Source organism: Homo sapiens, chromosome 10, assembly GCF_000001405.40.
Source record: "Homo sapiens chromosome 10, GRCh38.p14 Primary Assembly".
In the NCBI taxonomy this organism is placed as follows: Eukaryota; Metazoa; Chordata; class Mammalia; order Primates; family Hominidae; genus Homo; species Homo sapiens.
This window is the reverse complement of record NC_000010.11, coordinates 110,153,317-110,175,680: the sequence shown is the minus strand read 5'-3', so window position 1 is coordinate 110,175,680 and position 22,364 is coordinate 110,153,317. Positions and strand designations below refer to the sequence as shown.

Sequence of the window (22,364 nt, the reverse complement as noted above, 5' to 3'; positions counted from 1 at the left end):
TATGCCCCGAGAGGTTTTACCCACTCTGCTCTCTCTTGGAATTCTGTCTCTGCCTTGGGACTATGCCCAGGCTAGCCTGCTGGATGATAAGAGACTAAGTGAGGCAGAGCTGAATCAGCCTCATTGTCCCAGCTGAGGCCCTAGATATGTGAGAAAGCACAGCCAACCTACAGATGACCAATAGCTGAACACAGGTGCACACGTGAAGCTGTTCTAGACCAGAAGAACCACTACATCAACCCACAGACTCAAGAGCTAAACACAAGCATATTATTTTAAGCCACTACATTTTGGGGTGGTTTGTTATGCACAATAGCTAACTGATGCATATAGTAAGCTATTATTGCCCTTTCTCCCTCCTCTGGTACCTCCTGTCTATGTCTCTTGACCTATTGCCCATCTACATTGAAGTCCTAGGGACAAAGACGTAACAAAATATCAAGGTGAGAACATAGGCCCTGTAGTCAGACAGAGTTCAGTTCCCAGGCTGTGGCATGTACAGAGAGGTGACTTTTCCCAAGTAATTTCTGTTCCGTTATAGGGGAATAATAATATCTATCATGCAAAGTTGTGGTAAGGATTGAATAACATAATGGATGAGGAAGAGTCTCCCACACAGTGAGTAACTCTCTCTTCTCTTTCCACAGAAGCTCAATGTCTTACACATAAAATAACATTCAATTGGCCAGGGACAGTGGCTCACGCCTGTTGGGAGGCCGAGGTGGGCGGATCACTTGAGGTCAGGAGTTTGAGACCAGCCTGGTCGACATGGTGAAACCCTGTCTTTACTAAAAATATAAAAATTAGCCAGGCCTGGTGGCATGCACCTGTAGTCCCAGCTACTCAGGAGACTGAGGGAAGAGAATTGCTTGAACCTGGGAGGCAGAGGTTGCAGTGAGCGGAGATCATGCCACCGCACTCCAGCCTGCGTGACAGAGCAAGACTCCGTTTCAAAAAGAAAAAAAAAAAATTCAATCATGGTGATTGAAATCATATTGTTTTATGACTAGGTTGAGCTGTTAAGCTCAGTTACCTGATATTCAAAAGAGAAGCCATAGGTCACAGCCTCCATTCAGAAGCACAAAGGAAGTGTTCTCCAATTAGCCAATGATGATCATCCAAATACCAGTAACAGAAATCCTTGGCATTTGCTTAGTATTTACAAAGCACTTTTGCATATATTACATTGTATAATTTCACAATAACTCTGTGGAGTCCCTTAGCATCAGCATTGTCCCCATTGTGTAGCCTCCAAGGAAATCATTGAGGTCAAGTGGTTTGCCCATTGAGGCACAGCTGGTAAGTGGCAGAGCAGAGACTCTAAGAGCCCATCCTGCCCCCACAGACCAGTTGTTACAGTGTTGAGGGCCTGTGAGGAGTCCCACTAATAGGACATAATCCCTCTTTTTCTGTTTATTGAATATATATAGCTTAAAATGAAATGTTCTTGATCTCCTGGAAACACAATCAGACTTGACCTTGGCTCAGCACCGAAGCCATTGACTTTTTCAGTCCAGGACCCTTTTTGCTGGGGTGAAGAACCACTCCTTGTCTTCATCACTCACTGCTTGGAAATAAAAGGACCCAGCACAGTTCTCAAGGAGCACTATTCACGTCAAACTCTGCAGCTGATGTGTGGGCAGCCAGCCTAGTGTACTGGGGAGTCCTTCTTTCCGTAATTCCTGGGAGGGTCTTTCTCCAACCACCATTGGACAATGTGTCCTGGCAGCCAAATCTGTTAAGGATTAGGGTATTTCCTAAAGAAAGATCACCAATCTCTTTCTTTAAAGACAGTAAGAAAGACAGGGCTATCCCTCTGCAATATCAGTCAGCACAAGCATAGAGCCCTCAGGATGAGCAGATTTCTTTCCTAGGTGAGATCAGGGGTTGAGAGGTGGACATAAGAAGTATGACATGTCGGCTGGGTGCAGTGGCTCACACCTGTAATCCCGGCACTTTGAGAGGCCAAGGCGGGTGGATTGCCTGAGCTCAGGAGTTCGAGACCGGCCTGGGCAACACGGTGAAACCCCATCTCTACTAAAAATACAAAAATTAGCCAGGCATGGTGGTGCGCGCCTCTAGTCCCAGCTACTCCGGAGGCTGAGGCAGGAGAATTGCTTGAACCCTGGAGTCGGAAGTTGCAGTGAGCCGAGATCATGCCACTGCACTCCAGCCTGGCAACAGAGCGAGACTCTATCAAAAAAAAAAAAAAAAGAAGTATGACATGTCATGGCCGGGCACAGTGGCTCACACTTGTAATCCCAGTACTTTGGGAGGCTGAGGCAGGAGGATCACTTGAGTTCAGGAGTTTGAGACCAGCCTGGGCAACATAGGGAGGAGACCCTGTCTGTAATTAAAAAAAAAAAAAAAAAAAAAAAAAGAAAGAAAAAAGAAAAAAAAGTATGCAATGTCAAAGAAACAGCAAGTGCAGTCCCTTTCTCCCATGAACTCAAAATCCAAAGGGATTTTGGGGAAGCCATCCCCAGGATGTTGGTCAAAAGTTAAAAAAGCTGTTTATATAAAAATATAGCAGCATGATCCACAGTGATGAAAACCTGGAAATTGTCCAAATGCCCAACAAAAGAAAACAGTTAAGTACACTTGTTTTATTAAATTGATGGAATAGCACATTGCTGTTATGAAAGATAATAAGGGGCTGGGCGAGGTGGCTCACACCTGTAATCCCAGCACTTTGGGAGGCAGGGGCAGGTGGATCACGAGGCTGGGAATTTGAGACCAGCCTAGCCAACACAGTGAAACCCCGTCTCTACTAAAAATACAAAAATTAGCTGGGAGTGGTGGCGGGCGACTGTAATCCCAGCTACTTGGGAGGCTGAGGCAGGAGAATCATTTGAACCCAGGAGTGAGCCGAGTGAGCCGAGATTGTGCCACTGCCCAGGAGTGAGCCGAGATTGTGGCACTGCACTCCAGCCTGGACGACAGAGCGAGACTCCATCTCAAAAAAAAAAAAAAAAAAAAAAAAGAAAAGAGACGAAAGAAAGATAATAAGGAAGTTTTTGAGCTATGATGCCTTCTCCAAAGAAAAATAAAAGAGGTAAAATAATATTAACTAAAAAGGAAAGATAATACGGAAGTTTAAGTAGATTTGTGGAAAAGTACATATGAAACAATTTCAGGTAAATAAAGAATACAAAACAGTTTCCAAGCCTTGATTACACCTGTGTAAAATCGTATAAGCATAGTGATAATGACAGTAGGGGGACATCATAACATAAAAATAACAGTTGTTTTAAAGTAAATGGGCATTACTGTCATTCTTAGTCATGTTTGCTTAATACGCATGAGACATCTTGAAGGTAGCAAGAGAGAGACACGTGACATCTGGCTGTCAGAGCACTGCAAAACACCAACCATGCAGATTAGAAGAAAACAAGTGCACAGGAATGGGGAAAATCAGGAAAAGTTGTGGTTATTCGAGTTGGAATTTGAGTGGCTTAATGGTAGACAAATGCTCAGCTGGCACGCTGGAACCATTTCTGGGGACCCCAGAAACACAAAGCCAAACCAAAGAATGTGCAGCAGGACCTATGATAGAACTTCAGACACAGAGCCAGCACGCTGGGGGAGAGTTTTAGGGTGCAGGGCGGCCTCTTCCAAGTCCTTCAAATCGCATCAGTGACTTGGATGCCCATTAGTCACATGAAAGACAGGTCCTTAAACTGTGGCCAAGTCTTTCTGTGATGTTTAAAAAATATAAATAAGGCCGGGTGTGGTGGCTCACACCTGTAATCCCAGCACTTTGGGAGGCCAAGGGGGGCAGAGCGCTTGAGGTCAGGAGTTCAAGATCAGCTTGGCCAACATGGTGAAACCCCGTCTCTACAAAAATACAAAAATTAGCCAGGCATGATGATGGGTGTCTGTAATCCCAGCTACTTGGGAGGCTGAGGAGGGAGAATTGCTTGAACTCAGGAGGAAGAGGTTGCAGTGAGCTGAGATTGTGCCACTGAATTCCAGCTTGGGCGACAGAGCAAGACTCCATCTCAAAAAAATAAATAAATATATAGATAGATATATAGATATCTATATATGCATGTGTGCGTGTGTGTGTGTGTGTACTCTCAGACTAAAAGTGGGTTTATTAGGTGGGTTGAATTTCAGGCTGTGCAGTTTAGGGTAAAGATGGTTTGTCGAGAGGATGGATGTGCTGGCTTCCCTTTGATCCCCAAAACATCCTACATTGAACTTTCTGATAATAAAACGTGGCTTCTATGAAGCAAATTGGATGCACACTCATTTTTGTTCTTTCCTATTATTTTGTAGTGTCTAATATATATTTATATATAGAGAGTTGCATCCGTTGCATCCAACATCACATAGTGGTGATTTGCGCACAGTTCTAACTTTGAAACATGAGGTGTGACATCCTCCTCCTGGGAGAGGAAAGGTAAGGTTCAGTCAGCCATGATCTTAGGTGAGTCATTTCCCTTCAGATACTGCATCTATAAAGGCAGGGTTAGGCTCCCAGCGGATGATTGGGATTCTCCTCAGCTCAGAGCCTCAGGGAGTCGCTGGACCTGAAAGAAAAGGATGGTCTGCCCCCAACGAGGGGCAGCTGCCTTCCAACAAGGAGTCACTGCGAGACAGATCTCAGCCCTTTGTGCAAATTACAGCAAACCCTCCAAGAAAATAGTCTGGGTTTTTTATTTTTATTTTTTTTTCTAGTTCCATATTTTGACTCCTGATCTCCCATTTCTGTTAGAAAGTTTATAGTTCCTCAGTGTAGTGTGAGATAGAGGAAGTATTCTTTGTTAGCAGATTTAAAAAAACGTTTTTGGCCACCGATGGACCCAGCAGCCCACAAGGGCTACACAATAAATGGGCTGGGGAGGAAGGGAGAAAGGCGGGGATCCTCTCCAGGAAGGCCTGGGAGGACCACACATCAGGCTTAATTTCCCGGAGCCCAAATGCAAACAGAAAGAAAATCCACCCTGGGTTGTTTAAAGTCCCTGGCTCAAGGCTGTTAGGGAGAGGAAGGATCCCCTCCTGCAACCCCCCAGGCTGCCAGAAAACTTCTTCTGCAAAGCCACACCCATTCCTGCCTCCAGGGTGTCCTCCTGCTACAAGTTGAAAGAAAAGGACAAGGAAACTGACAATCTCCTTCCAGGGGTGGGGGGGGCGGGGGCAGACGCCATGGCCAAGTCCAGGGTGATAAAGGGCTCAAGGGCAGCTCCGGGGTCGTCACTTCAACTGTACCATGTGAGCAGCTGCTCCATGTTGGGGATGTGGCAGAGCCCAGCCTCTGGTCCAGAAGCATTGACCTCTCCCCATTGACAAACAGCTGCTCCAGTCCCCCCACCAGCCTTTAGGCTCTAGGGGACATCGTGTGAAGCTCTGTCTCCCAGGACGTTAAACCAAATCTGTCACGGCTGTGGAGACTGGCTGGGGCTGGTGAAACCCTCCCATTTGCAGCGCAGGAGATCACAGTAGCAAAGGCTTGCAGGATACTTTCATGTGGATTATCTTATTTATTTCTCAATGTAACCATGTGAAGTGGATATTCGTTATTATTTCTTTTTTCTTTCTTTCTTTTTTTAACAGATGAATAAACGGAGACTTAGAGAGGTTAAGTGGTAGATGTGAGATCAGTGCCAAGACAGTCTCTGCAAAGCCTGAGCACTTAACCTCTACATCATGGGAAGATACTGCGCTCCTCTCAGAGTTGCAAAACATGCACAATGTCCTCCATCCCCTAAAGGCCATTCAATGGGAAGTTTTCAGCCCTTTCTCTCTCCCTTCCTTCTGAAAAATGTGGGGTGGGGGCAGTTATTTCAGAGGTCTTGGGGCACAGGTTCAACACCAGGAGGGAGAAGGGAGATGAGGAGGGGGTAGGGGAGAGAGGCACATGTTCAGTGCAAGGAGGATGCTTGGGATCCAGCCACCTTGGCTGCCCTGGGACCCTCTTCCTGAGTATCTTGCTCCCCTCTTCTAACACATTCCAAAAGCTGTTTTGTGCTAGTGACTGCTGACTGCCATTAAGTCACCATCACAAACACTTTTACCGGGGGCTTTCTAGAAATAAAGATGTGACACTTTGGGTGATTTGTGGTGTCTGGGGGGTCTGAGGGAGAGGGTTCTACCTCTTCCTCAAATTGTACCTGGGAGGTTGTCACCCAGCCTTAAGAATCCTCATATTCAAAGGGAAGAAAAAAATACTGGGGAGAGGAGAATAAGGGGGATGTGGTACCTGCCTTCAGATACCTGCAGGGCTGTCACAAAAAAGAGATTAGGAAGTGGGGCTTCAGAGGGCAGAGAATCCCCTTGGATATACATCTTAGAAAGGGAGATGTTCTTTTAACATAAGAAAGAACATCAGACTACTTTCTTGCTGTTGTTGTTGTTATTGTTATTCTAGCAACAGCCATTTATGAAGGACAATGTCAAGTCGTATGCTAAGCACTTTCATCTACACTGGCTTAAGTAAACCTCCTGACCACCTGGGAAGTAGATGCCTGCAATTAATTACTGCCCCCAGATCACAGATGAGAAATTAAGTTCAGTGAAGTTAAGTAACTGGTTGAATGTGGCTGAGCTAGCACCTGGGAGAGCGGAGGTCCCTACCCGCTGCTGGTTCTAAAGTCCACGCTCTTAACCATTAACTCCATCCTCTCCACAACCTTTGACAGTCAATGGTGATTTCCACATTCCCAGAGGCATTCAAGAGATGCTGTAACTTATTTGATACATGAATTGCCTAGATGCTCCTCCACCTCCAGATTCTCAGGCCTCCCCCTCCAGAACCATAGCTGAATCTCCGGGGGAGGGGGGTGGGGCAGGGGTTGGTCCCCAGAGTCTGCTTTTAGCAAGCACTAAGTAGGTGTGGGAGGCATGGCCTTAGGGAGCCGCCACTGAGAGGAAGCTGCACCCGATACTCTATCAGGGCTTCCGACTCCTGTGTGGCCTGAGATTTGGAGATTCTATTTTTAGGCAGGTCCTTCCTGAGCCACTGTGTCAGACTTTCTGGCACCTTCTGACGGCTCCAGGGCACCTGAGCTGTCTTCAGAGCCGCCCTGATGCCCCAGAGATACCTAGGGCAGGGCTGGGAGGAGCTCTGGGAGCCAGGAAAAAGCAGAGGAAAGCCACATTTGCCAGATGAAGGGGAGGAGGTGAAGGGGGAGACTCTTCATTTCTAGCTCGGAGGGGATTCAGTGATTCTCTCCGCCCTGAGGCTGACAGTAGGGAGCCGGTCGTTGTTAAAACTCTCTCTTGCAGAGAAGAAGTTATCCCTTCCGAGACAGTATGGATGGATGGAGGGAGTTTTTCGTGGACCATTCTCCCGACTGCTTTCGTGGATGGTTTTTTTTGGGAAGCTGGCAAAGGAGATATTATAGAGAAGTCTTGTCTCTTGGGAACCCCTGCAGCAGCAAAATGATGGTGATGGCTGCTGAGCCTTTACTGATGCTTGCCGGACGCTGTGCTGAGCACCCTAAATCCAGCCCCCTAGTTAACCCTCACGGAAGTCTCTTGAAATGAGTGCCACGGTTGCTCTCAGTTTAAGGATGTATTAATAGGCTTAGAGAGGTACAGTTACTTGTCCCCAGCCCCGCTTAAACTGACAGAGCTTTCGGAGTTCATGGATGGGACTACTACACTCTTAACCACCCCACGATACTGCCTCTCGGGCCCCAAGAGAACGTCAGTGTTTCTTAACCTTCTTTTGGAACACTGACTTTTGAAGATGTGCCAAAAGCTATTATTTTGTCAGCTAATGATCAGTAATATCTACCACAGGCCAAGTGCTGTTCTAGGTGCTTTACATGTACTAACTCATTTAATCCTATCAACAACCCATATGGTAAGTTATTCTCATTATCCCCATTTTACAGCTGAGAGAGCAAAGCTTCAGAGAAGTTGAGTAACTTGTGTCACTGGTTGCAAACTGGTATAGCCAGGTTTCAAACGTGGTGAGTGTGACTCCACAGTCCACACCATTAACCATTAGGCACATGAGCGTGCATGTGCATTCACACACACACACATGCACAATTGTGTAGTCAATTTCAAGGGATTTGTGGCTCTGAAAGTCCTCTTTTGGGGACCAGTTCCAGGTGAGCAACACTTCAGAATTAATTAAAAAAAAAAAAAAACTCAAAACAGGCCACATATAGTAGCTCACACCTGTAATCCCAGGATTTTGGGAGGTTGATGTGGGAGTATTGCTTGAGCCCAGGAGTTCAAGAACAGCCTGGGCAACACAGCAAGACCCCATCTCTACCAAAAATTTAAAAATTAGCTTCACGTGGTGGCATGCACCTGTAGTCCCGGCTACTCAGGCGGCTGAGATGGGAGCATCGCTTGAGCCTGGGAGATCAAAGCTACAGTAAGCCGAGATTGTGCCATTGCACTCCAGCCTGGGCAACAGAGCAAGGACCTGTCTCACAATAAAAATTAAAAAATAAAATAAAAACTCAAGACTAATATTGGGGTTTAGACTTCTGCAAAGACCACGTGCTAGAGGAGGGAAGACCCAGGCCGGGGGTCTTTTGCCAGGCTGCTTTGGGGCCATCTTTTCCCCTTCACCAATTCCAGATTCTAGGGTCTGTCTCAGGCTGGAGAAGGGGGCTGGCCTGTCCACATCATCCTTTCTGAATGACCATGCTGTTGGGCCTTTCCGCCACCCACCTGACCCCCAGCCCTGAAATTACTGGGTGGGCCGACATTTGCTCCTCCAGTAGAGTGTGAGCCAGGGATTGAGTCCAGGAAAGGTACCTGGGAGTGGAGCAGGTGAAGGAAGTTCTACAACTAGATCATTGTTTCTAGATTTTAGTTGACATCAGAATTACCTATTCAAAAGCAGATTCCTGGGCCCCATCCTGAAGGATTCTGATTGAGTAGATCTGAGGTGGAGCCCAGGAATTTGTGTTTTATTTATTTCATTTTATTTTATTTTATTTTCTTGAGATGGAGTCTCACTCTGCCTCCCATGCTGGAGTGCAGTGGTGCGATCTCAGCTCACTGCAACCTCTGCCTCCTGGGTTCAACGGATTCTTGTGCCTCAGCCTCCCAAGTAGCTGGGATTACAGGCATGTGCCACCACGCCCAGCTAATTTTTGTACTTTTAGTAGAGATGGGGTTTCGCCATATTGGCCAGGCTAGTCTAGGACTCCTGACCTCAGGTGATCCACCTGCCCCAACCTCCCAAAGTGCTGGGATTACAGGTGTGAGCCACCATGCCCAGCCAGAATTAGTGTTTTCAGTAAAGGTCATTATCATTCCTGATAACATGGCCCATTGAGCAAGACTGGCTCAGAGTCCACATTGTCATCTCTGCTGATGGTTCTAGTCAAAAGGAGGACTCTCAGTTAATTCTACTCATGTCTGGGGCCACAGCTTCCACGTAGAATTCCAGAGGGGCAGGGGGCATCCTGGGTTTGTGCAATGAGCAGGGAGGAGAGGAGGAGGTGGTCCCTGGAGCTGTTCCCTCCTGATTTTGAGCCAACTGCCCAGCACTCAGTCAGGCACCAGTCGCCCCTTCAAGCAGTGGGAGCTGCTGAGGGGTGCAAGGCTGAATTTATGACAAGATAGAGTCCCTGGCCTCAAGGGACACAGAGATTAGCTGAGAAGATGGATGAGTCAACTGAGAAATGCCAGTGAAGCTGGGGCTTTTGAAGCCAGCGAATGAGGGAGCAGAGCTCAGGGAGCGGGAAAGCAGAGAGCGTGCATGTGCGCGAGGGTGGGGGATTCCAAGTGAGTGGCTGCAGGGAGTCCTGGGTGGGGGATAAAGGCCACCAGATGGAGGCCTGGGAAGCAGGGTGACTAACCGACCTGATTTGCCCGGGATGGAAGGGTTTCCTGGAATCGGGGCCATTCAGTGCAAAAATCAGGAGAAAGTCTTGAGCAAAACCTATAGGGAAGGCAAGTCACGGTCTCTTCAGAGGGCCCTGTGTGCTCTCCCAAGGCACAGAAGAGCCTCCCTGAACTCTTCATGACACTAGACTCTCTCTTTCTACCCAAGGAGGAGGTGGCAGGAAGCTTGGGAGTCTGGGCAGAGACCTCTGCAGGTTTGGGGACTACTTCCAAACACTCAAAGCTATTTTACAAACCTTGACGGGTCCTTTGAAAGACACAGAAGGTTGGATCAGATCACTTCAAGTTTCAAGGAAACAGATGAGTTATACTACAAAGAAGTAGTGGGAGGAACAGTGACTAAATTAGTTCTCATTAGCCGGGCGTGGTGGCATGCACCTAGAGTCCCAGTTACTCAGGAGGCTGAGGTGGGAGGATTGCTTGAGCCCAGAAGGTCGAGGCTGCAGTGAGCCGTGATTGTGTGCCACTGCACTCCAGCCTGTGTGACAGAGCAAAACCCTGTCTTGAAAAAAAAAGTTCTTAATTGAGCTCTTACTATGTGCCAGGACTGTGATAAATGTCTTGGAGAAACTGTGTCATTTAATCGTCATAACTTTCCTGGGAGGCAGATTTTATTACCCCCACTGAACAGATGAGAAAACAGAGGCACAGAGGGAGGAGCCCACTTACCCAGAGTCACACAGCTGGCAGTGGCTGTGCTGGAACTTTGACAAAGCACCCCTTAACAGAGAATCAATCAATCACTAATACAGAATAAATAAATAAAGCTTCCCAGGATATTTGCTCCAATTGGTCAGTGTGAAACCCCCCAAAGTTATTTATTTATTTATTTATTTAGAGACAGGGTCTTGCTGTATTGCCTAGCCTGGAGTGCAGTGGTGTGGTCAGAGCTCACTGCAACCTTGAACTCCCAGGCTCAAATGATCTTCCCACCTTGGCCTCCCAGGTAGCTGGGACCACAGGTGCATGTTATTACACCTATTAATTTTTAATTTCTTTTTTTTTTTTTGGGACGGAGTCTCGCTCTGTTGCCCAGGCTGGAGTGCAGTGGCGCGATCTCGGCTCACTGCAAGCTCCGCCTCCTAGGTTCACGCCATTCTTCTGCCTCAGCCTCCCGAGTAGCTGGGACTACAGGCACCCGCCACCACGCCCAGCTAATTTTTGTATTTTTTAGTAGAGACGGAGTTTCACTGTGTTAGCCAGGAAGGGTCTTGATCTCCTGACCTCGTGACCTACCCACCTCGGCCTCCCAAAGTGCTGGGATTACAGGCGTGAGCCACCGCGCCCGGCCTAATTTTTAAATTTTTTTTGTAGAGATGGGTCTCATCCTGTTGCCCAGGCTGGTCTCAAACTCCTGGGCTCAAGTGATCCTCCCACCTCAGCCTCCTAAAGTACTGGGATTACAGAAGTGAGCCACGTGCTCAGCCACTCCCTGAAGTTTTAAACAATACTCACCCATCACAGAGAATGAGAATCAGGGCAAGGAAATGACTTATGCCCAGGCACAATGTTTTAAGAAAGAAAAACACAGCAGCTAAAGAGAAATGTCCAAGAGTCAAAGTCAAAATGAGTTTTCAGAATGGAAGGCATGGGAGTTGCATTCTGGATGTCTAAGTCGAACCTAGAAGCTTGAGCCCCAAAAACAATCCTGTTTTTCCCAGGTGGAAAGTTGCTTCTGGTCGGGAAGGCTGAGCAGCATTTGAAAAAAGAATGAAAGAATGTGCATTTCTGGGGCACATTGGATAACAAAGGGGGCCTCTGTCATTCTCTGGGTCCAGTGAGGTGACACTGCTAATCCTAAAATCTGTCCTGCAATCACACAGCCAGGGAGGGGCCCCGTCCCCAGAGCCCTCAGCAGACAGTCAGACAGGTTCAGTTGGGAAAGTAGGGAAGCCCTCACGTGGTAATTACCCTAATACTGAAAGAGGAGCTCTAGAGCAATGTCTTTTTGAATGTTTTGACTATAATCCACAGTAAGAAATACATTTTTTATCACAAACCAGTGCATACATGTGTGCATGTGTGCTTCACAAAGCAAAGCTTACCCATGTTAAATGCAATACCCTCTGTTATTTTCTGTTCCATCCAAATTCATTTGTTTTAAAGCTAGTTGTAACCTACTACATTGATTTCATTACCCACAAATGGTTTATAGTCTGTAGTTTTAAAAACACCTAGCACTGTGAGCCAGGGAAACTGAATAGGAGGTTAGAATGACAGGAATTTATATTGCAGTCATTATCTCTACCATTGTGCCTTTGAATGGTGTTTTGTGTTTACCCTACTTTCACCTAATAAGCACTTCTCAAACTGTGCTCCATGGGTTGCCTTTATTCCAGGAGAGTTTAATAGGTGTTTTGCTCCAAAGTGCTTCTGCGGTCAAACAAGTTTGGGAAAGGATACACGGGATAGCCACATCTGACATGTCCCAGTGCTTTTAGCATATTTAAGGCTCCGAGAAGGTCTGCAGTGAAGGTACCTGGTTAACTCTGTTAATCCTGCCTTTCCCAGACTTTTCTTTTTTTTTTTTTTTGACCAGAGAGTCAGTTTGGGGAGTAAGCCACTTACTTCCTCATGGGAAGTTTGGTGTTCCCCAGAAACCAGTCAGAGCCTGATTGCTTCACATTCTCCTTTGCGAATCCTCACCCACCGGTGTCCCTGTGAGGTTAGGAAGAGGGATGCTCTGTGGGAGGACTGTTGGAACAGACAGTTCACTTACCTGTCTGATCTCCCACATCAACTTGGGGCCAGAGTTGGCCAGAGCCGGGCCAGAGCCAGGCTTCCTCCCTCACCATCACATGGGGGAGCCCTTGGGCAGTGCCATTGATCCTAAGGGGCCACTTTCCTGATGGCACGAGGAAACGCCTCCCCACTGAGCTGCATGCAAGAACAGCAGAAGGGTGTGGGCACCAACAGCTGCCCTCTGCATCACCTCCAGGGTGCCGAGTATCCCAGGAGTTCAAAGCTCAGCCTGAAGAATCTTTAGTTCCTCAACCTCCCTGGGGGCAAGAAAGGAATGGGAACTGATCATCCCCACACTTCCGCTTCTGAACAGAGGTAAAGTAACTCACACAGTAATTCTGCAGGAAAAATAGCCACCCGTGACTTCCAGTTCCTGTTGTAGCTCAGGTCAAACTTGGCTGAAGAACATGTATTCAAGTTTGTGAAACAACTCTGCTGGTTTCTTTTATTAATTTTTTTTGAATATGCATTTATTTCTCTGGATACAAAAGAGACATGGGGATGTACGATAAACATTTCTCTCCTATCCCTTGCCAAATCACCCAGTTTCTCCCTGGAGTCAACCAAATGTACTAGTATCTAGTATCTATGCAAACACTCCTTTTCCCTACACACACACACACACACACACACACACACACACACATGAGCGCACACGATAAACAAATTAACATACTTTGAACACTGTCTGCACCTTATTTTTATTTATTTATTTATTTTTTTGAGACAGGGTCTCGTTCTGTCGCCCAGGCTGGAGTGCAGTGGTGCAATCTCCGCTCACTGCAACCTCCGCCTCCCGGGTTTGGAGATTTTCCTGCCTCAGCCTCCTGAGCAGCTGGACTACAGGCGCGCACCACCACACCCAGCTAATTTTTGTATTTTTAAGTAGAGACGGGGTTTCACCATATTGGCCAGGCAGGTCTTGAACTCCTGACCTCATGATCCACCCATCTCAGCCTCCCAAAATGCTGGGATGACAGGTGTGAGCCACTGAGCCTGGCCTCTGCACCTTATTTTTTAACTTAATGATGGATCTTAGAGATCATTCCTTATTAGTACACACAGAGCTTTCTCATTCTTTTTTACTGCTATATAAATTATGGTCCTTTATGGATGCAGCATAATTAGGCCCCCACTGATGAACACAGATTACCTCCAGAGTTTTTTGTTATGAACAGTGCTGCGGCAGATAACCACGTACTTAAGTCGTGGTGCACATGTGTGCGTGTGTATGTAGGGTAAAGTTCTAGAAGTGGAATTGCCGGGTCAAAGCACAGGCACTTCTTTAGGTGGTGCTGAGTACTGCCTGGTGCCCCTGCTCTGGCGGCTGGGATCCCAGGAAGAGGAGACGAGGGTTTTTCCTTTCTCGTTGGATGTTTAATCCAAGGCAGCTTCACACATTGACACCGGACACAGGAAACACGAAGTGTAGTCCTGACCTGTCTTTGCATGTCAATCTCCATTTGCACCAGCACCATTTGTTGAAAAGACTCTTATTTTCACCATTGAATGGTCCTGGCATCCTGGTTGATAACTGATTGACAGTTGGGCATGGTGGTTCACGCCTATAAATCCCAGCACTTTGGGAGGCCGAGGTGGGAGGATCGCTTGAGCCCGGGAGATTGAGACCAGCCTGGACAACATAGTGAGACACTGTTTTTAAGGGAAAAAAAAAAAAGAAAATCAATTGACCACAACTGTGAGAGTTATTTCTGGTCCCTCATTTCTATTCCATTGATCTCTATGTCTATATCTTTAGACAAGTACCACACTGTCTTAATTACTGTAGCTTTGTAGTACGTTTTAAAATTGAGAAGTATGAATCTTCTATTTTTCTATTCAAAATTGTTTTGGCTATTCTGGGTTCCTTGCGCTTTCACATGCATTTTACAAGCATTCCACATTCATTTGATCAGCTTATCAACTTCTACAAAGAAGTCAGTTGGAATTTTGATAGGATTGCATTGAATCTGTTATATCAATTTTGGGAATATTGCCATCTTAGCAATATTAAGCCTTCCAATTCACAACTATGTGTTGTTGTTCCATTTATTTAGGTCTTCTTCAATTTCCTTCAACAATATTTTACAGTTTTGAATGTACACATCTTGTACTTCTGTTAAATTTATGCTTAGGTACTTTATTCCTTTTGATACTACTAGATGTGAAATAGTTTTCTAAATTCTATTTTTGAAACTTTAATTGCTAGCATATGGATATAGAATTAATTTTTATATGCAGATCTTATATTTTGAAATATTACTGAACTTGTTTATTAGCTCTAATAGCCTGGTGCTTGGGGGTAGATATCTTAGTATTTTCTATATAAAAGATTATTTGTCAACAGAGATAGTTTTACTTCTTCTTTTCCAAACTGGCCTTTTATTTCACTTTCTTGCCTAATTTCCCTGGCTAGCCCCTCCAGCACAATGTTGAATAGAACTGACAAGAAGAGGAGACACCCTTGTCTTGTTCATGATCTTAGGGGAAAGCTTTCAGTCTTTTACCATTAATTATGATGTTAGTTGTTAACTATGCAATTTTAAGTTTTCTAGTAGCCACAATTTTAAAACATAAGAGTAAATGGTAAAATTAATTTTACAAATAAATTTTATTTAACCCAATATATCAAAAATATTTCAGCATGTAATTATTATAAAATATTAACGAGATTTTTACTTTGCATACTAAGCCTTTGAAATCTGATGTGTGTTTTATACTTTCAGCATATCTCAAACTCCTGACCTCAATTGATCCACCCGCCTCAGCCTCTCAAAGTGCTGGGATTATAGGCGTGAGCCACTGTGCCTGGTCCTTTTAGCATATCTTAATTCAGAGTAGCTACATTTTTGGAGGGGGGTGGCGGTGGGGAGTAGCTACATTTTAAGTGCTATTCTCTACTGTATTGGACAGCACAGATCTAGAACATGGCTGGCTCAAAACAAGAAGAGCTAATGTTTACTGAACACTTCCCATGGGCTAGGGACTCTTCTAAACTTTTTCACATATTAACTAAATTAATCTTACAATGAGGAAGCTAAGGCATGGAGAGGCTATATTACTTGCATAAAATTGCCCAACTAGTGAAATAGCAGGGCTAGGATTCCAACCTGGGAAGTCAGACTTCAGAGCCTGAACTTTCTACTTTTAATAAATTTATGGAGATCTAATTCACATACCATACAATTCACCCATTTAAAGTATACAATCAGACAGTTTTTAGTGCATTAACAGAGTCCTGCAACCATCACCACAAACAATCTTAGAACATTTCATCATCCCAGAAAGAGAGCCCATACCCGTTAGCAGTTACTCCCCATTTCCCCCAACTTCTCAGTCCTATCTACTTCCGTCTGTATAGATTCGCCTATTCTGGGCATTTCATATAAATAGGATTATATGATATGTGGTCCTTTGTGGCTGGCTTGTTTCATTTAGCATAATGATTGCAAGGTTCCTCCCTGTTGTAGCATCTATCAGCACTTCCATTTCCAAAAAAATAGTCCATTGTATGGACAGATCAACTTTATCTCTTTGTCAACTGATGAACTGGGTTGTTTTCACGTTTTCAGTATTATGAATAATGCTGCTATGACCAAGCATGAGCAAGTTTTTGGATGGACATACGTTTTCGTCTCTCTTGGGTATACAGCTGGGAGTGGAACTGCGGGATGATAGAGGAACCTAGAACGTATGTTTTTTAAAGGAACTGCTAGACTGTTTTCCAAAGTGGCTGCACCATGTTACCTTCCCACCAGCAGTGTATGGGGGCTCCAGTTTCTCCACACCCTTGTCAACACTTGTTATTGTCTTTTTGTTTATAGCCATCCCAGTGGGTATGAACCGACCCAGAGCTTAAACTTTTAGCTGTTATTCTAGACCAGAGGCACTTAATGAACATGTGTTCAATGAATGAAAAAATAAACACATCTTGTCATTGTCCGTTGTGGGGTGTTCTGAATAATGGAACAAGATGGCTCAAAACTTGCCAACAAGAAGCTTTAGAAGAAGAGAAGGCTGTTTTCCTTTAAAATGGTGATCTGCTGGCTGGATCTGAGCCACCTGAGGGGCATTTTAAAAGTACAGATTCCCAGGCCCCATTTCCAGAGATTGATTTGGTAGGTAAGGTGGTATCTGGGAATCCGTATTTTTTTTTTTTTAAGAAAGCTTACCCAGATGATTCTGACATGCCACCGGGTTTGGGATCAGTCATCTAAAAGGGCATTTTGGAGTATAGTGCATGTATTTGCAATAAGCCAGTCATGTAAGTGTCTGCCAGAAAAACAAGTCTGTGGGAAGGACTGCAATGACACCTGGCTGAGTTTGGGAAGCTGAGGCCCTGCTCAGTGCTGCATTCCACATGGTGGGGGTAAGAAGAAAACTAACAAGTAAGACTCGCTGAGAGCTTACTTCCTTCCATCTATGTCTCTACATGCAATACCTCCTTTAATCTTTAAAACACCACCCTATGAGAAAGGTACTGTTAATGATTCCTTCTTTGCAGATGAAAAAACTCAGTCTCAGAGGAATTAAGCTGCCCAAGGTCTCACGACTCAGTCGCGTTAGGCTTGCAGCATGGTCTGTTTGACTCCTCTCTGCTGTTTTTCCTTCCTGGCCATTTCACTAGCCTTGAGGCACTCCCAGGATTCTGGAGGAGTCAGGACACAAAATGAAATACGCAGTAGCTGGAAAGGCCAACCAGGTAAAAACAAGATGCCTGGTGGGGTGTGCAGACAGGTTACGGCGGAAGTATTAGGGAGGAGGAGGGGAGGGGGCTCAAACAGAGGAAAAAGAAGTGGTTCTTTGTGGCAGGGCCTTTGGACAATTGGCAAGCCCCCAGCTGACCCAACTCCTGCTGCATCACGAGCTTCTTCTGTCCCCTATGCCTTCTGCCAGTCAGGGTGCTAATTTGCACGCTGGCCTTGCTTGCCCCAGAATGCCTTTCCACCCACCCTCTCCAGAGAGACTCAGATACAGCAAATATCCCTTAGATGCTTTCAGGTGCCATATCTCATTTAGATGCACTTTCAGATGAGGAAACTAAGGCTCAGAGACATTAAGTCACTTGCCTAAAATCCCACAGCAAATCAGTCGCAGTGCTGAGATTCAAACTTTATTTTTGACAACCTGATGTGGTTTAAATGTGTGTGCTCCTGCCCCCAATTTTTGTGTTGAAGCCTAATCCCCAATGTGATAGTATTAGGAGGTGAGGCCTTTGGGAGGTGATGTGGGTCATTAGGGCATAAGCCTCATGGTGGGATTACGACCCTTATAAAAGAGGCCAGAGAGAGAGTCCTTGCCCCTTCCACCATGTGAGGACAGAGCGAAAAGATGGCCATCTATTAGCCAGGAAATGGATCACTACCAGACACGGAATCTATTAACCAGGAAGCACCCAGGCTGGAGTGCAGTGGCACGATCTTGGCTCACTACAGCCTTGACCTCTGAGGCACAGACGATTCTCCCACCTCAGCCTCCCAAGTAGCTGGGACTACAGGCGTGCACCAACATGACTAGCTAATTTTTTGTGTTTTTTATAGAGATGGGGTTCTTGCTATGTTGCCCAGGCTGGTCTCAAACTCCTGGCTCAAGTGATTCTCCACCTCAGCCTCCCAAAGTGCTGGGATTACAGGCGTGAGCCACCGCACCCGGCCTTATTAGTGATTCTTAATTTGGGATAAATTGTGGGGCCCTTTGGATCCTGTCAAAAGCTCCCTTCCCCGTGTTGTGAGTGCCCACCCTGTGCGTGTGTGGGGCTCACTCACAGAGCATGCGCAGGGCAGTGTTCACACCCTGGTTAATAGCCTCTGCTTTATTCGTGATTTGAGGGGCCCCTCGCAGCAGCAGCGGTTTCACAAAAAACGTATAAAAATCTCTCAAAGACAAAGGCAACTTAACAAACTGGTTTATCACAGGGGTGGGCTGCTTCTTCACTGGCCCACGGGGACCCGGAAACCATCAAAAGCTGAGGCTGGGAAACCCAGCTTCCTGCTTCTGGCCTCAATTCCCCACCACTGTCACCACCATGACCACTAAAAATAAGACCAAACCCAGCCCACGCCCTCTCGACGTCGTTCTCCTCATGATTTAGCTGCCTGCTTCCTGTTGATCTTTCTTGTTTTATTTCACAGTCTCTGACTTCTGCTCACACCCCACTAGGCATCTCCCCAGTTTGAGCTGAAACAGGATTTAACCAGAAAGAAAAAGGGGTGGACGTGGGAAGCCGCAGGGGACTGAGGGTCCGTGTCCTGCCTCTCTGAATCCACACTTGCACCCTCCACCCAGTGGCTGCCCCAGGGGACTCTGGTCCAGACCCCATTCAAATGCTGCCAGGCGAGTTTGATGACTGCCTGGTCATAGGTTTTTGATAAATGTACTCGATCTCCCACCAATGGTTGTAGGGGTACGGAAGGCACAATCTCTATCCAGAATTATTCAATCACATGAGGTGAGGACTGGGCCACACAGGACACAAAATCTCTGGAAGCAGTTGATGAGAAATGCCATTTGCCCCTTCCCATTTGTCTCTTGGAAATTGAGGGTTGTAGGCTCAGTTTTCTGGTGGTGCCCCCAAATGCTTCTTCCAGCCATACTTTTTTTTTTTTTTTTTTTTTTTTGAGACAGAGTCTCTCTCTGTCACCCAGGCTAAAGTGCAGTGGTGTGATCATAGCTTGATGCAGCCTTGACCTCCCAGGTTCAAGTGATCCTCCTACCTCAGCCTCCCTAGCAGCTGGGACTACAGGCGTGTGCCACCACACCTGGCTAATTTTTGTATTTCTTTGGTAGAGACGGGGTTTCGCCATATTGCCCAGACTGGTCTTGAACTCCTGGGCTCGGGTGATCTGCCCGCCTCGACCTCCCAAAGTCCTGGGATTACAGGTGTGAGGCACCACGGCCAGCCTCAGCCATAATTTCAGACTCCATCCCTCCCAGGAGAGCTCCCTGGTGCCCTTCAGTAAAACTGAACTCCACTCTCTCCCGGTCTCTTGGCCTCCCTCTGCAATTTTTGTATTCATCTTCCTTGCTAGATTGTGAACCCTTGGAGGGGCAAGGATGATCTCTTAATCACTCTTTTTAGAAATTTCACAACTAATAGATGTTTACTATGTGGAAATATTAGAAAATTCAGATGGCTTCCCCACCACCTCCCCTGCAGAGAGGATAAAATGTATCCCTGATGCCCAGCTGGGACCTGTAACATTTTGGTGATCTTTCCATTTTCTTATGCAGACACACACACACACACACACACACACACACGCACGCACACACACCTAACAGAATGGAATCCAATACTCTATTTTGAGTCTATTACTCCTTTTTTTTTTTTTAAAAAAGTAAAGATTTGCTATAATTTTTTCATTTATTTATTTTTGTCTTTTTATTATTATTATACTTTAAGTTTTAGGGTACATGTGCACAATGTGCAGGTTAGTTACATATGTATACATGTGCCATGCTGGTGTGCTGCACCCATTAACTCGTCCTTTAGCGTTAGGTATATCTCCTAATGCTATCCCTCCCCCCTCCCCCCACCCCACAACAGTCCCCAGAGTGTGATGTTCCCCTTCCTGTGTCCATGTGTTCTCATTGTTCTATTACTCCTTTTTTAACTACTCGATAACCTTAAAACATTTTCATACCAACATTTTGCATCATTGAAAATCACTGCAGAGTTGTCTACCAGTTGTATCACAGTTTTCTCAATAAGCCCCTATTGTTGGACATTTAGGTTATAGTCATTTTTTTGAGACAGGATCTCACTCTGTCACCGAGGCTGGAGTGCAGTGGTGCAAACATGGCTCACTACAGCCTTGACCCCTTGGGCTCAAGCGATTCTCCCACCTCAGCCTCCCAAGTAACTGGGGCTACAGCCATATACCACCATGCCTGGCCAATTTTTTTTTTTAATTTTGTAGAAAGGAAGTCTCACTATGTTGCCCAGGCTGGTCTTTAATTCCTGGCCCAATTTTTTAAAAACAGCTTTGTTGGGATATAATTCGCATACCATAAAATTCACCATTTTAGGGTGTACAATTCAGTGGTTTTTACTGTATCTACAGAGTTCTGAAACCATTACCATTATCTGATTTTAGAACATTTTCATCACACCCAAAAGAAACCCCACAGCCATTTCTGTCACTGCATTTACCCCACACCCTGACACCAGGGGAACCGTTAATCTTCTTTATGTGTTTATGGATTTTTACTATTTTTTTTTCTTTTGAGACGGAGTCTTGCTCTGTCTCCCAGGCGGGAGGTGTAGTGGTGCGATCTCAGCTCACTGCAACCTCTGCCTCCTGGGTTCCAGCAATTCTGCCTCAGCCTCCCAAGTAGCTGGGATTACGGGCACCTGCCACCACGTCCAACTAATTTTTTTGTATATTTAGTAGAGACAGGGTTTCACCCTGTTGGCCAGGCTTGTCTCATCTCGAACTCCTGACCTCAAGTGATCCACCTGCCTCAGCCTCCCAAACTGCTGGGATAACAGGCATGAGCCATGGCACCTGGCTGATTTTTACTATTCTTGACATCTCAAGACATTCACATACAAATGAAATGTTACAATAGGTGTCTTCTTTCACTTAGCACAGTGTTTTCACGGTTCACCATGTTGTAGCATGTATCAGTACTTCATCCCTTTACATGGCTAAATAATATTCCTTGAATGCATATGCCATGTTTTGTTTATTCATTCATCAGTTGATGGACATTTGAGTTGTTTCCAGATTTTGGCTATTATGAATAATGCTGCTATGAACATTTGTGTGAAAATTTTTACGTGGACATATGTTTTCATTTCTCTTGGGTATATACTGAGTAGTAGAATTGGTAACTCTATGTTTAACTTTTTGAGGAACTGCCAAACTGTTTTTCAAATATGGTTGTACCATTTTACATTCCCATTAGCAATGTATGAAGACTCTGATTTCTCCATGTCTTTGCCAACACGTTATTGCCCACCAATTAATGTTTCATTCTGTGCAGCACCCAGACATGTTCCTTGAATACAGGAAATGCTGAATCTCTTTGTTGGACTGATCATGCACTTCCCCTAAACAGAAACTTTTTGCATCTCTGAAATTCATTTATGTACTCTGTCCCCTAAAACACCAAGCCAGATCCGGCCTCCACACTCGTAGTGGGGGAAGGTTTCATGAAGGAGGAGGCATTTGAGCTGGGAAATAGATGTAACAGGAAAACATGGATTTAGGGTCATAATTGATCTAGGATTGAATTCTGTTTAACCACTTGAGACTTGGTTTTATCACCCACTAAGTGGGGATAATAGTATCTGTCTCATGAAATAATGCAAATAAAATGCTTAGCACAGTGCCTGCCACATAGCGTGTCTCCTTCCTCCCTGGAGGATGAGAAGTTGGCTCTCAGTTGAGCAGGGTAAGGACCTGTCAAGCGGAGAAAAGAACATGTGCAATGGCCTAGTATTGTGAATGCAAGTGGCAGATGAGGCGACTGGTGGGAGGGTAGCAACCAAGCCAGGAGGCAGATAAGGCCAGGGCACCAATGAACTCTCTCCCTGCAAAGGAAGTTGGATCTCATCTCTCACAAGTCATAGGCAACTAGGCGGTGAGTGACAGACCATGATTTGCATTTTAAAGAGCTCGTTCTCCAGCAGCGGGAGGCTGGACTGAGGGTTGAGACAGGGGGTACTGGGAAGACCAGTAAGAGGGTCAATGAATTCGTTGTTTAAATGAATTCAGGTGGGAAACCAGGGGCTTAGACTAGGGCTGTGACAATGGGGATAGAAAGAGGAGCTGAACGGGAGAGAGGTTTCG

General features: G+C 45.7%; 4 annotated features.

Moving 5' to 3' along the window:
• Window positions 943–1,538: an enhancer, noted in NCBI's record as "OCT4-NANOG hESC enhancer chr10:111933901-111934496 (GRCh37/hg19 assembly coordinates)". NCBI's record gives its function as "activates a minimal SCP1, AML or CMV promoter by ChIP-STARR-seq in naive H9 embryonic stem cells {active_cell/tissue: H9 hESC(naive)}" and the evidence as "EXISTENCE:reporter gene assay evidence [ECO:0000049][PMID:30033119]".
• Window positions 4,876–5,170: a silencer, noted in NCBI's record as "tiled region #9707; K562 Repressive non-DNase unmatched - State 22:ReprW". NCBI's record gives its function as "represses a minimal TATA promoter and a strong SV40 promoter by Sharpr-MPRA in K562 cells {active_cell/tissue: K562}" and the evidence as "EXISTENCE:reporter gene assay evidence [ECO:0000049][PMID:27701403]".
• Window positions 5,838–6,805: an enhancer, noted in NCBI's record as "OCT4-NANOG hESC enhancer chr10:111928634-111929601 (GRCh37/hg19 assembly coordinates)". NCBI's record gives its function as "activates a minimal SCP1, AML or CMV promoter by ChIP-STARR-seq in naive and primed H9 embryonic stem cells {active_cell/tissue: H9 hESC(naive and primed)}" and the evidence as "EXISTENCE:reporter gene assay evidence [ECO:0000049][PMID:30033119]".
• Window positions 10,517–11,016: an enhancer, noted in NCBI's record as "H3K4me1 hESC enhancer chr10:111924423-111924922 (GRCh37/hg19 assembly coordinates)". NCBI's record gives its function as "activates a minimal SCP1, AML or CMV promoter by ChIP-STARR-seq in naive H9 embryonic stem cells {active_cell/tissue: H9 hESC(naive)}" and the evidence as "EXISTENCE:reporter gene assay evidence [ECO:0000049][PMID:30033119]".